The 14,277-nt window shown below is 42.6% G+C and overlaps 1 long non-coding RNA gene across 1 annotated transcript in view, besides 3 other annotated features; it reads right to left on the bottom strand.

Moving 5' to 3' along the window:
- The window catches only part of LOC105373032 (uncharacterized), a 40,173-nt gene that overhangs the window by 6,803 nt on the left and 19,093 nt on the right, over positions 1 to 14,277 (bottom strand). The gene's annotated exons all lie outside the window — the stretch shown is intronic.
- Positions 13,615 to 13,784: an enhancer, noted in NCBI's record as "experimental_63387 CRE fragment used in MPRA reporter constructs". NCBI's record gives its function as "activates a minimal promoter by MPRAs in K562 erythroleukemia cells, with activity observed for both the introgressed and non-introgressed 22:39301963 variant alleles {active_cell/tissue: K562}" and the evidence as "EXISTENCE:reporter gene assay evidence [ECO:0000049][PMID:34662402]".
- Positions 13,615 to 13,851: a biological region, named in NCBI's record as "Neanderthal introgressed variant-containing enhancers experimental_63385 and experimental_63387".
- Positions 13,682 to 13,851: an enhancer, noted in NCBI's record as "experimental_63385 CRE fragment used in MPRA reporter constructs". NCBI's record gives its function as "activates a minimal promoter by MPRAs in K562 erythroleukemia cells, with activity observed for both the introgressed and non-introgressed 22:39301896 variant alleles {active_cell/tissue: K562}" and the evidence as "EXISTENCE:reporter gene assay evidence [ECO:0000049][PMID:34662402]".

Below are 14,277 nucleotides of genomic sequence, written 5' to 3'. Positions count from 1 at the left end.
GAAAGCCTAATCCAGAGCAAGGCCCTAGCTCTCTTCAATTCTATGAAGGCTGAGAGAGGTGAGGAAGTTGCGGAAGAAAAGTCTGAAGCTAGCAGAGGTTGGTTCGTGAGATTTAAGGAAAGAAACTGTCTCCATAACATAAAAGTGCAAGGTGAAGCAGCAAGTGCTGATGGAGCAGCTGCAAGTTGTCCAGAAGATCTGGCTAAGATCATTGATTAAGGTGGCCATAGTGAACAACAGGTTTTCCATGTAGATGAAATAACCTTCTATTGAAAGAAGATGCCATCTAGAACTTTCATAGCTAGAGAGGGGAAGGCAATGCCTGGCTTTGAAGCTTCAAAGGACAGGCTGACTATCTTGCTAGGGGCTAGTGCAGCTGGTGACTTTAAGTTGAAGTCAATGCTCATTTACCATTCTGAAAATCCTAGGGTCCTTAAGAATGATGCTAAATCTACTCTGCCAGTGCTCTAGCTTAGATGACTGCACATCTGTTTACAGCGTGGTTTGCTGGATATTTTAAGCCCACTGTTGATATATACTGCTCGGAAAAAAATATTCTTTTCAAATATTCTTTTCAAAATATTACTGCTCATTGACAATGCACCTGGTCACCCAAGAGCTCTGCTGGAGATGCACAAGGAGATGAATGTTGCTTTCCTGCCTGCTAACACAATGTCCATTCTGCAGCCCATGGACCAAGGAGTCCTTTCAGCTTTCAAGTCTGGATCTGGGCAAAGTAAATTGAAACCTACTGAAAAGCATTTATCATTCTAGGTGCCATTATGAACATATCAATCTACCAGGAGTTTGAAAGGAGTTGAGTCCAACCTTTGTGGATGACTTTGAGGAGTTGAAGACTTCAGTAAAAGAAAGAACTGCAGATGTGGTGGAAATAGCTAGAGAACTAGAAGTAGAAGTGAAGCCTATAAATGTGACTGCATTGCTGCAATCTCATGATCAAACTTGAGTGAATGATGAGCTGCTTCTTATAGATGAGCAAAGAAAGTGGTTTCTTGAAATGGAATGTACTCCTGGTGAAGATGCTGTGAACATGTTGAAATAACAACAAAGCATTTTAAATATTATAGAAATTTAGTTGATAAAGCAGGTTTGAGAGAATTGACACCAATTTTGAAAGGAGTGCTACTGTGGGTAAAATGCTATAAAACAGCATCACATGCTACAGAGAATCTTTCATGAAAGGAAGAGTCAATCAATGTGGCAAACTTCATCGTTGTCTTATTTATTTATTTATTTATTGAGACAGAGTTTCACTCTTGTCGCCCAGGCTGGAGTGCAGTGGCGTTGGCTCACTGGTGCAGTTGGCTCACTGCAGTCTCCACCTCCAAGATTCAAATGATTCTCCTGCCGCAGCCTCCCAAGTAGCTGGGATTACAGGTGCTTGCCACCACGCTGAGCTAATTTTTGTATTTTTGGTAGAGATGAGGTTTCACCATGTTGACCAGCCCAGTCTCAAACTCCTGACCTCAGGTGATCCACTCACCTTGGCCTCCAAAAGGGCTGGGATTACAGCCATGAGCCACCACACCCAGCCCATTGTTGTCTTATTTTAAGAAATTGCCACCACCACCCCAGCCTTCAGCAACCACCACCCTGATCTGTTGGCAGCCATCAACATCAAAGCAAGACCCTCCACCAGCAATAAGATTACAACTCACTGAAGGTTCAGATGATCATTAGCCTTTTTAGCAATAAAATATTTTTAAGGTATGTACTTTTTTAGAATAATGCGATTGCACACTTAATAGGCTACAGTATAGAGTAAACATAACTTTTATATGTACTCGGAAACAATAAAATTTGTGTGCCTTGCTTTATTGCAATATTCACTTTATCGTGATGGCCTGGAACCAAACCCACCGTATCTCTGAGGTATTCCTGTACTTAGTCTCTTACACCCAACATCTTATCAGTTCAACCAACACTTATTGAATGCCTGCCTTGTACACTGACAAGGGATAAGGGAGTCCAATATGGACCCTGCACTCCTGGAATTCACAGTCCTAGGTCTCCATCCCCTTCTATGAACTTGCCAGCAGAGGGATGTGGTATAGTGGTGTCATGCGCTTCCCAGCTTCTCAGAGGTCTTGGTAATTGTAAAACTTTGTCAAAGATGACCAAAAGAAAAAGTCCCATTTTCTTCTCCCTGCAAATGTCTCAGCAGCATTATTCTCCAAAGGATTCCAGCCATGTTCCCCTCTCCTCTCACGTCCTTGCTAACTTGATTCCCAATTCTTGGGAGAGGCTGGACTGAAGTCACCACTGACTCTATGGAAAGTGGAAGGAGAATGCAATAGAGACCAGCAGCTGGGCCGGGTGCGGTGTCTCAACCTGTAATCCCAGCACTTTGGCAGGTGGATCACCTGAAGTCAGGAGTTCGAGACCAGCCTGGCCAACATGGTGAAACCTCATCTCTCCTAAAAATACAAAAATTAGCTGGGCATGGTGGTGGGCGCCTGTAATCCCAGCTACTTGGGAGGCTGAGGCAGGAGAATCGTTTGAACCCGGAGGCGGAGGTTGCAGTGAGTCAAGATCACACCACTGCACTCCAGCCTGGGCAACAGAGCAAGGCTCCATCTCAAAAAAAAACAAAAACAAAAAAAGAGAGACCAGCAGCTGTAGTTCAGGACCATGAACAGCGCTGATGGGTGCCTCCTGTGCCAAACAGGTGAGTCCTATCAGCACAAGGTCTTCTCTCCCTATGCAAGAGCCAGTCTGAGGGCAGAACCCCCCTGCCTCTCATAGGTTGTGCTCTTGCTGCTGGAGTAACTGGATTTTCACCAGTGCTCATGTTGTGAACTGTTACAACCCTCCCCTCCAGGCTGGAAGATGGGGCTGAGAACCAAAAATACCCAGGAACGCTTCCATTTGGACCCATCAGTGGAGAAAGGGGAGCTCCCACTGCTGGCTTCCGGGGAAAGCAGATGTTAAGAGACCAGGATCTATAGATTTGTCTAAGAGCAATTCCTAAGCCAAGTTACACGGTGCTTTTCTGCTTTAAGCCTCGAAAGCCAGTCAATGAGATTCAGGCACAAGAGTTCACAGAGAATGGGTGCCCTAGCAAGGGATGCCCAGAGCCATGCTCATCCTTCTCTGCCGGCTAACCTGTGGTGCCTGGAAGTGCTGACCCTCTCTCCTTGAGACTCTGTTTTTATAGCAATGCATGTGGCAATTCTGTTCTTCTTATAAGAACTCCTCTATTGACTCTTCTTATCCCTCCTAACCCCTTACTCAAGGACATGAACAACACAAAGTCTGGGCCCCTCTGTGTGCCTTCTCTCTACGGTCCTCTTTTCTTTCTGTCTCAAGCCTCAGGCCTCACCTCCCTGTCTTTGCCTCCAAAATCTGCTTTACCATACCAGATTTCTGGTATGATAAATGATCTCTCAAGAGAGAATCGTCCAGGGTGAAAGAAGAACTTGAAAGGATTTGACTTCTATCAACAGGATGCAGTTTATGCTTTGGATCAGAAATTAGTATGTGGTGCTTTCTCTCCTATCACCAGAATATGGAATTCCAGATAGACATGGGAGTGGCTCCTCTCACTGCACACCTAATAACCTGTGTGCAGAATCTTTCTTCCCATCTCCACAGCTCTGAGCTCTGCAGGTTTGGAGGTCATGGTCATGGCTCCCAAGAGAGGAATCCTGCCACCAGAGGACACAACTGCAGCTCCATTGAATTGGATGTTGGGACTGCTGCTGGCCATTGGGAATCTTCATGCCACTGAACCGAGAGAAGAAAGGGGTTACTCTACTGCCTGGGGCGACTGATCCCTATTACAAGGAGAAATTGGGTTGCTGCCACACAGTGGAGGTAGGGAGGACCACATCTGAACCCCCAAGGATGCTCTAGGATGCCCCTTAGGACTTCCATGTCCAACCATAAAAATAAGTGAAAAAACATGACAGTCAAAAAAGGCAGGACCACTAAGGATCCAGACACCTCAGGATGAAGATTTAGGTCACTCCATCAGGCAAAGAGGCCTAGCCAGTTGAGAGCAAAAGATATGTACAAGGAAGAGTGGAAGACAGAATTGGAATGTCAACTTCAGCCACATGGCCTATTACAGAAACAAGGACTGTAGCAGTTGTGTACCTTTCTTTCTTCGTTTGCTGTGTTTGTGTGTGTGTATGTGTTTGTATATGTTAACCACTTTTTTTCCTTCTTTCTCTCCCTTCCTATTATTTATTTTTTGATAAGTTTTCTTGGAAGTTAACTTTCCAATTCAGTATTTAGATAACGGAATATTCAGCCGGCACTGTGACTGGATTTGAGGGGTTATTAACATTGTCCGGAGATGGATACAATGCTGTTGGAATCTTTGCATCTCCCCATTTTGGGGAAAGACTGAGAATGTCTTCATTTGCATGAAGGATAGTTGCAACCTGTTAAGTGTAAACATAGAGTTGTCTTTTTTTTTTCTGGAGACGGAGTCTCTGTCTGTTGCCCAGGCTAAAGTGCAGTGGCACAATCTCGGCTCACTGCAACCTCTGCCTCCTGGGTTCAAGCGATTCTCCTGACTCAGCCACCCCAGTAGCTAGGATTACAGGTGTGTGCCATCATGCCCAGATAATTTTTGTATTTTGGTAGAGACAGGGTTTTGCCATGTTGGTCAGGCTGGTCTCAGACTCCTGGCCTCAAGTGATCTGCCCGTGTCAACTTCCTAAAGTGCTGGGATTACAGGCGTTAGCCACCGCGCCCAGCCTATCCTCTTATTTGAAAGTCAGATTTGTGTATACAAATGCTGAGAAGCCAGAAAGGTGGATTATGCCACTTACTAAGCTATTGTCTCTCTCTCTCTCTTTTTTTTTTTTTTTTTTTTTTTTGAGACCGGATCTCACTCTGTCACCTAGGCTATAGTGCAGCAGTGCGTTCATGGCTCACTGTAGCCTCGACCTCCCGTGCTTGAGCACTCCTCCCACCTCAGCCTCCTGAGTAGCTGGGACTACAGGCACATGCCACCACACCCAACTAATTTTTGTGTTTTTAGTAGAGATGGTATTTTGCCATGTTGACCAGGCTGGTCTCCAACTCCTGAGCTCAAGCGATCCACCCACCTCGGCCTCTCAAAGTGCTGGGATTGCAGGTGTGAGCCACTACACCTGGCCTACCCTTTATTATTTCTGTCTTAGTCTGTTCAGGTTGTTATAATAAAATACCATAGACTGGATAGCTTATAAACACAGAAATTTATTTCTCACTGTTCCAGAGGCTGGGAGGTCCAAGATAAAGACTCTAACAGATTCAGTGTCTGATGAGGGCTCACTTTCAGGTTCATAGAGGGTGCCTCCTGGCTATGCCCTCTCATGGCAGACACAGATAATCTCTTTTGTGCCTCTTGTTATAAGAGGCACTAATCCCATTCATGAGGGCCCCACCCTCACGACCTACTCACCTCCAAGTGCCCCATCTCCTGATACCAACTCACCGGGGGTTAGGATTTCAACATGTGGTTCTGGGGGGAGATGCAAACATTCAGACAATAGTAATTAGCTTCCTTCTCTTTCTTTGAGTTTGTTCTGCTGCAGTTTTATCCCTAACTTCTTCAGATAGATGGTTCGCTCATTAATTTTTAGTCTCCCTTGTTTTCCAGTGTATGAAATTAAGGCTATCAATTTTTCTCTAAGTACTATTTTAATTGCATGTGAGAAGTTTTAATATGTGATATTGTCATCATCTTTCAGTTTAACATTTTTCTAATTTCCATTAGAATTTTGTCTTTGACTAATGGACTGTATAAAAAGTGAACATTTTCATTTCCAAATGTATTAATAATTTATTTTTTGTTGTTGATTTATAATTTATGCAATATAATCACAGAAGGTGATCTGTATAATTTCAATCTTTGGTCTTTATTGAGACTTGATTATGGCATAATACATGGTCATTTTTCACAAATGTTCCACAAGAGTTTGAAATGAATGTGTATTATCTAATTCTTATGCAAAACATTCTATAAATGAGCATTCAATCAAGCTGGTTAGCAGTACTGTTCAAATCTTTTACACTCTTACAGGTTCTTTTTTCTGCATGATCTACCAATGATAGAAATATGTTAGAATCTTCCATAATGGTGGTGGATTTGTCAAGTTCTTCTTGGGTTTCTTTTCTTTTTTCTGTTGATTCTTGCTTTATTCATTTTAAGGCTATAAGATATGTACAAGTTTTAAATTAGTTTATCATCTTGGTGAATTAAAATACTTTATCTTTATGTACATACCCTCTCTATCCTTAGTAATGACTTTTCTTTAAAGAATATTTTTATCTGGGCCGGGTGCAGTGGCTCACACCTGTAATCCCAGCACTTTGGGAGGCAGAGGCGGGCGGATCATGAGGTCAGGAGATCGAGACCATCCTGGCTAACACGGTGAAACCCCGTCTCTACTAAAAATACAAAAAATTAGCTGGGTGTGGTGGCGGGTGCCTGTAGTCCCAGCTACTCGGGAAGCTGAGGCAGGAGAATGGCGTGAACCTGGGAGGCGGAGCTTGCGGTAAACCGAGATTGTGCCACTGCACTCCAGCCTGGGCGACAGAGCGAGACTCTGTCTCAAAAAAAAAAAAAAAAAGAATATTTTTATCTGATGTTGATATCATAAACTTGCTTTCTTGGCACTTAAAAAATCTTTTTATTTTCAAGCTTTCTGTGTTCTTTGACTTTTTTTTTTTTTTTTTTTTTTTTTTGTTGAGACGGAGTCTCGCTATCTCCCCGGCTGGAGTGCAGTCCCGCGATCTCGGCTCACTGCAAGCTCCGCCTCCCGGGTTCACGCCATTCTCCTGCCTCAGCCTCCCGAGTAGCTGGGACTACAGGCACCCGCCACCTCGCCAGGCTAATTTTTTGTATTTTTAGTAGAGACGGGGTTTCACCATGTTAGCCAAGATAGTCTCGATCTCCTGACCTCGTGATCTGCCCGCCTCGGCCTCCCAAAGTGCTGGGATTACAGGCGTGAGCCACCGCTCCCGGCCGTTCTTTGACTTTTAATACATCTCTTAGAAAGTTGGATGGGGGAGAGGTAATCCATTTTGAAAATCTCTGTCCTCTAACTGGTGGGTTTAGTCCATACACCTCTGTGATTATTGTTATTTTTTAACGCACCTCTATCATCTTATTCTTTTTTGCATTTTTTTCATGCTTCTTTGTTTTTCTTTCTTGGTTTTTTGTTTTTTGTTTTACTAATTGGGCTTCTTTTATTTGTTTTCCCTATTCCTATTTGTATTTCCTATTTCCTATACTGTTTTGAATTTACATGCTCCATTTCTTTTCTTTTTAGGGATAATCTTTGAGGCTCTGCATGTATATATAACAAATTTTAAAATTAATATATTATTCTACCCCCTTCTGAAAATTTCAAGACCTTAGAATACTTTACCACTGATTTACTCCTTCTTGAATTACATGTCATTGTTTTTCAATATTATATTTTGAGCCAGAAGTTTTATTACTCACTTTAAAGAAGCAATTTTTGGCTTTGTAGGTCTTTCTCTATTGCCTATCTGCTTTCTTTTTTTTGAGACGGAGTCTCGCTCCGTCACCCAGGCTGGAGTGCAGTGGCGTGATCTCGGCTCACTGCAAGCTCCGCCTCCCGGGTTCAAGTCATTCTCCTGCCTCAGCCTCCCGAGTAGCTGGGACTACAGGCACCCGCCACTACGCCCGGCTAATTTTTTTTTGTATTTTTAGTAGAGACGGGGTTTCACCATGCTAGCCAGGATGGTCTGGATCTCCTGACCTCGTGATCCACCCGCCTCGGCCTCCCAAAGTGCTGGGATTACAGGCGTGAGCCACCGGCCCGGCCTGTTGCCTATCTGCTTTCTATTTATTTCATTTCCACTCTTATCTTTATTATTTCCTTCCTCCTGCATATTTTAGGTTTAATTTGCTCTTCTTTTTCTATATAATCAAAATGAAACCACAGATGGCTGATTTCAAACCTCTTTCCTTTTCTAATAACAGCATTTAAAGCTATAAATTTTTCTCTAAGAATTGCTTTATCTGCATTCCACAAATGCTGATAAAGCTAAAAGGAAAACAGAAAAAACACAATTAGAGTTGGAGATTTTAATACTCCATTTTCAGTAATTGATAGAACAAATGGATAAAAAAAATCAATAAAGATGTGGTAGATTTAAACAACACTATCAACCAGCTTAATCTAAATGACGTTTGTAGGACACTACATCAAAAAACTGTAAAATATACCTTTTTTTAAATGTACATGGAACATTACCAAGTTTAGACATACACTGGGGCATAAGATGTCTCAATAAATGTAAAAGGATTGAAATCATACAGAGTATATACTCTTATTAAAATGTAATTAAACTAGAACTCAGTAACTAAAAAATCCCTTAAAATATCCAAATTTGGAAATTAATATCTTTAATTTAACCATTAGAGCTTTTCGTTAAGAGTCATCATACTAATTAACAAGTTGTTAATTTCATCAGTGAAAACTCATTTCTGACATTAAATTTACTTCTTAGCAAGCCTGAGGTATTGTTCTAGATATGATAGCAAAAGTGGTCCCTTCCTCTGAAATCCACCTCTAATATGATGCCAGCCGACCACTGGGACACACTATCTATGATGAAGTGTTTCAAAGTGATCGCAGTCACTGTGATAAGCATGTTTTAGTTCTAAAACGAGAGTCTTTTGGTGTTAAACTCAGTTTTTGTCTGAGAGTGTCCTGAGGTGGAAAAGGAGGTGCTACTTGCTTCCCCCACTCCAGATTCTGCTACATACATAGACACACCTCCTTATCGACCTCAAACTTTTAACAGTTAAACAACATCTACCAAAACAAAGCTAGGAGTTGGCTTGGCCAAATTGGCCTAGGTTGGTTCACATCATCGGACACAGCAAGTGACCATAAAGATCATTTTTGCAGGAGCCCAGTGTGGATGCTGGCAAGGCAGTGTGAGCTTGTCACTGTGTCATTGCGCTTACATGAACTGAAAATAAGGAACAAGGATATGGGGTGTGGGGAGAAGACTACTTGGAAACAAACCCATGGTGTTGGAATCAAGCTACTGTGAAAAGCTGGGAAGCAGCAAGCAAGTTTCTGGAAGTTTTGATTTGAGATGATGTGAAGGAAAGTAAAGATAAGTTGATTTAATAAAAAAGATGATAAAGAAACAATGGGAGAAGAATGGTAAAGAGATAGGATTGGATAAGAGCTAAAGGTGTAAAACCTTCTCAGAAGAAAACATAGGTGTATACGTTCATGACCTAGGATTCGGCAATCATTTCTTTTTGTTTGTTTGTTTGTTTGTTTGTTTGAGGCGGAGTCTCACTCTGTCGCCCAGGCTGAGTGCAGTGGCGCAATCTCGGCTCACTGCAACCTCTACCTCCCTGGTTCAAGTGATTCTCCCGCCTCAGCCTCCCAAGTACCTGGAATTACAGGCACCTGCCACCACGCCCGGCTAATTTTTGTATTTTTAGTAGAGAAGGGGTTTCGCCATGTTGGCCAGGCTGGTCTCGACCTCCTGGCCTCAAGTGATCCACCTGCCTTGGCCTCCCAAAGTGCTGGGATTACAGGCGTGAACCACCATGCATGGCCTTGACAATCGTTTCTTAACTATGACACCAAAAGCATGCACGATCAAAGAAAAATAGATTAAAGGGGCTTCATCAAAATTCAAAAATTTTGTGTGTCAAAGGACACTGTTAAGAAAGTGAAAAGACAGCCCAGAGAATGAGAGAAAATATTTGCAAATCATGTACCTGAGAAGGGTCTAGTATCCAGAATATGTAAAGAACTCTTACAACTCAACAACAAAAAGACAACCTAATTTAAAAATGGGCAAAGGACACAATAAGACATTTCTCCAAATAAGATATACAGATGGTCAATAAGCACATGAAAGGATGCTCAGCATTAGTCATTAGGGAAATGCAAATCAATATCATAATAAGATACCACTTACACCCATGGGAATGGCCAAAATGATCAAAGACAGATGATAAAAAGTATTAATGAGGATGTGGAGACACTGGAACCCTCATACATTGCTAGTGGGAATGTAAAATTGTGCAGCCTCTTGGAAAATATTTTGGCAGTTCCTCAAGAAGTAGAATTACCATATGACCCAGCAACTCCACTCCTAGGTATATACCCAAGAGAAAGCAAAACATGTCCATACAAAAATCTGTGCATGAATGTTCATAGCAGCATTATTCACAATAGCCAAAAAGTAGAAAAAATAAATCCATCAACTGAGGAACGGATAAACTAAATGTCATACATTCATACAAGAGAATATTATTCAGCCATAAAAAGGAATGGAGGCCGGGCATGGTGGCTCACACCTGTAATTCCAACACTTTGGGAGGCTGAGGTAGGAGGATTGTTTGAGCCCAGGAGTTCAAGACCAGCCTCAGCAATATAGTAAGATCTTGTTTCTACAAAAATAAATAAATAAATAAATAAATAATAAGTACTGATACAAGGTGATGATCCTGGAAAACATTATGATCAGTAAAAGAAGCCAGACATAAAAAGCCACATATTAGGCTGGGCGCCATGGCTCACACCTGTAATCCCAGCACTTTGGGAGGCCAAGGCAGGTGGATCACCTGAGGTCAGGAGTTCGAGACCAGCCTGGCCAACATGGTGAAACCCCATCTCTGCTAAAAATACAAAATATTAGCTGGGTGTAGTGATGGGCACCTGTAATCCCACCTACTTGGGAGGCTGAGGCAGGAGAATCACTTGAACCTGGAGGAAGAGGTTGCAGTGAGCCAGCATTGCGCTGCTGCACTCTAGGCAACAGAGTAAGACTTCGTCTCAAGAAAAAAAAAAAGCCACATATTAAATGATTCCATTTAATAAATGTCCAGAGTAGGCAAATCCATAGAGACATAAAGTAGATTAGTAGTTACTGAGGGCTGGGGGGACTAGGGAAAATGGGGAATGACTGCTCATGGGTACAGAGTTGGGTTTTTTTGTTTTGTTTTATATGTGTGTGTGTGTGTGTGTGTGTGTGTGTGTGTGTGTGTGTGTGTGTGTGTTAAAAATGTTCTAAAGGGGCTGAGCATGGTGGCTCACACCTGTAATCTTAGCACTTTGGGAGGCCAAGGCAGGCAGATCACTTGAGGTCAGGAGTTCGAGACCAGCCCGGGCAACATGGTGAAACCCCATCTCTACAAAAAATACAAAAATTAGCCAGGCATGGGGGCACACACCGTCTCAGCTACTTGGGAGGCTGAGGTAGGAGGATTGCTTGAGCCTGGGAGGCAGAGGTTGCAGTGAGTTGAGATCACGTCACTGCACTCCAACCTGGGCAACAGAGGGAGACTCTATCTCAAAACAAAAAATGTCCTAAAGTTATTTATGATGATGGTTGCACCCTGTGAATATACTTAAAATCATTTAATTTTACCATTTAAAAGAGTGAGTTTTATGGTATGTGAATTCTACCTTGTATCCCAATTTCTTAAGTAGGAAAAAGTATCATCAACAGAAGACCCCCCCAACTCACAGTCAGACCATGATGGAAGGTGGTGGGGAGGGAGAGAGGGAAGGAGAGAGTGAGGGAGGGAGGACAGAATGGGGTGAAGGATGCTAAGCAGAGAATAGTGCCATGATTGAGGTTAGGATGCTTAGCATTATGGGAAGAGTTAGAAAAGGGGAAGAAGTTAGCCTAGCCCTGGTGATCAGCAACTAGAAGGAAGGTAATTTCTTTTTTTTGTTTTTCAGTCTACCAGCTGATCCATTACATGGGGCTATGACAAGGTCTGTTGAGGGAGACACCCACTGAGATTACAGAAACTAGTAAGGAGCAAAAATGGTTTACTTGAAATGTTCTGCTGAGGAACAGGTTAGAGAAGGCACTACTGTAACTGGCTCAAGTCCGGCTACTCGCTGCTCACAAGTCAAAGCATAAGAAGCAAGGTGTGGCAAGAGGAAAGCAGCTTCTAGTGGTGAAATGCCAGCAGATGGGAGAATGGCCAGGCTAAAGCCTCAAAGAGACCATCTTTGCCTTCTGGGCTGAGTGAAGGGGTTTAAGAAGGAAAAAGGTGTGGGGAATATGCGGGACTCATGAAAAGGGGGGTGTAGGTGTGCGTGTCTGGTTCTGATGGTTATCTTGAGTAATCGCTCTACAGAGGTCCACTTGGCATCATCCTGACTTCGACCCAGTGGTGGTGGGCTAACTGTTCCTAACACCCCCTGAGCAGGAGGATTCTGCAGCTGGGTCTCTCTGCCTGGCTTGTTTAAAAACTAGCCCCTGGAATTTCTAAGCAAGCACATAATTAGATAAGCAAGCGCTGTGCATGGGAGCGCCTGATGGGGAAATGGAGGGAAACAAAGAATTTCAAAGTTCTGTCAGTTTTATGATCTCTATTTTAATGGTAATGATGGTCAGTTGTGCCTGAATTCCAAAGGAGGGGGAAGGTGTAGCAAGGTGTGTCTAACCCCCTGCTTTCTGTCATGGACTGAACAGTTTTTCAGGTTCCTTTCGGATCCCTCTTGGCCAAGATGGGGGAAGGTGGGGGAGGGAAAACGGGTCCATTCTGTCTCTTGGGAGGCTTAGGATTTTTTTTCTGTTTATATTCCGCCTCTTTTGTCAAGGTATGCTAGATGTAGCATCAATGGCCAAGCTTTTATTTTGTCCAATATTGATGCTATCTGCCCCAAGTTCATCATGTCCCTCAGTGGAACCCCTTTGGCAAAGGGACTTAAAATCAAAAGACTTATAGCTAATTAAACAGTCTAGGCCAGAGGGGAAACCCCCTTTAAGCAATGTAAGAGCCAAAAACCAAAAGCCAAAAGGCAAGGTTCTAAAATTGACTTCTCTATAAATTCAATGCATTGAACTACTGTATTTTTGACTTGTAGAAATTGGCTATACAAAACACAAGCATTTTGTTCAGCCGTTTAGGCATCTGTGTGCTAGTTCTCGATTTGGAGAGTCTGAAATAATTTTCTCTCTCAAAATCAGCCCTTAAAATCTCATGCAATAGTCCCTGGGCCTGCAGGGATTGAATAGTTTCAAATTTTGAAGGCAAAACAAAACATAAAGAATTAGCAATGTTTTACACAAAAAGATCATAAGCCCTGCCTAGTTCTGAGGAGAACAGGAAAGGAAGTTCATAGGTCATTAAACATTTAAATTATTTAGTATCAAGGCATAGAACAAATTATATTATTTCAGATAGAGGCAAAATTATTAAATGAATCTTAATGTTTTTCAATACAAACCTATCCCGATGTCTCATGAAAGCAGTTTGCTTTGATTGTCTCCTTTGCCCAGGTCTAAAGACGAGGCTTTGGCTAACTCGAGTTTGGTGTCAGAGACTGGCAGGAGCCAATGCCTTCTTTAGATGAGATATGTGTACCCAGGAGTCAAAGCCCCATAACTTAACAGCACAAAGATTAGTTAATAGCACCTTTTAGGGCTTTTTTGAGGCTGAAGGTGGTGATACTTGAGTTCATGACCTGACTGGAAGCTGTAAAAAGATTTTACAGACTTCCAGTGATTAACTTTTATAGCTTTGATAAACCTCAGCAGTAAGTCAGGCTCTTAATTTAGGATTTGATTTGAGGATGTTTGTCAAATATGTTAAAAAGCTCAAAACATTTTATCAAAACAGAATAATGGTCATTGTAAAATAGTAGTTACTCATTGAAACAAGGAGATAACTAAAAGACTTTAAAGGCAATACAGAAGGATAAATGGGCGTAAAAGCCTTAACCCTTTTAAATCTCAGTTTTTTTAAGCAATCAAAAACCTATAGCTAGCTGTGATGGCTCATGCCTGTAATCCCAGGATTTTTGGAGGCCGAGGCAGGCGGATCAGCTGAGGTCAGGAGTTTGAGACCAGCCTGGCCAACATGGTGAAACCCCATCTCTACTAAAAATACAAAATTAGCTGGGTGTGGTGGTGCACGCCTGTAATCTCAGCTACTCAGGAGGCTGAGGCAGAATTGCTTGAATCTGGGAGGTGGAAGTTTCAGTGAGCCCAGATCGTGCCATTGCACTCCAGCCTGGATGGCAAGAGCAAAACTCTGTCTCAAAGACAAACAAACAAACAAAACCTAATAAAGACAGCATAGGGGCAGGGCATGGTGGCTCACGCCTGTAATCCCAGCACTTTGGGAGGCCAAGGCAGGCGGATCACGAGGTCAGGAGATCAAGACCATCCTGGCTAACACAGTGAAACCCGTCTCTACTAAAAATACAAAAAATTAGCCGGGTATGATGGCGGACACCTGTAGTCCCAGCTACTTGAGAGGCTGAGGTAGGAGAATGGCATGAA

Source organism: Homo sapiens, chromosome 22 (assembly GCF_000001405.40).
Source record: "Homo sapiens chromosome 22, GRCh38.p14 Primary Assembly".
NCBI lineage: Eukaryota > Metazoa > Chordata > Mammalia > Primates > Hominidae > Homo > Homo sapiens.
This window is presented reverse-complemented; position numbering and strand designations above follow the sequence as displayed.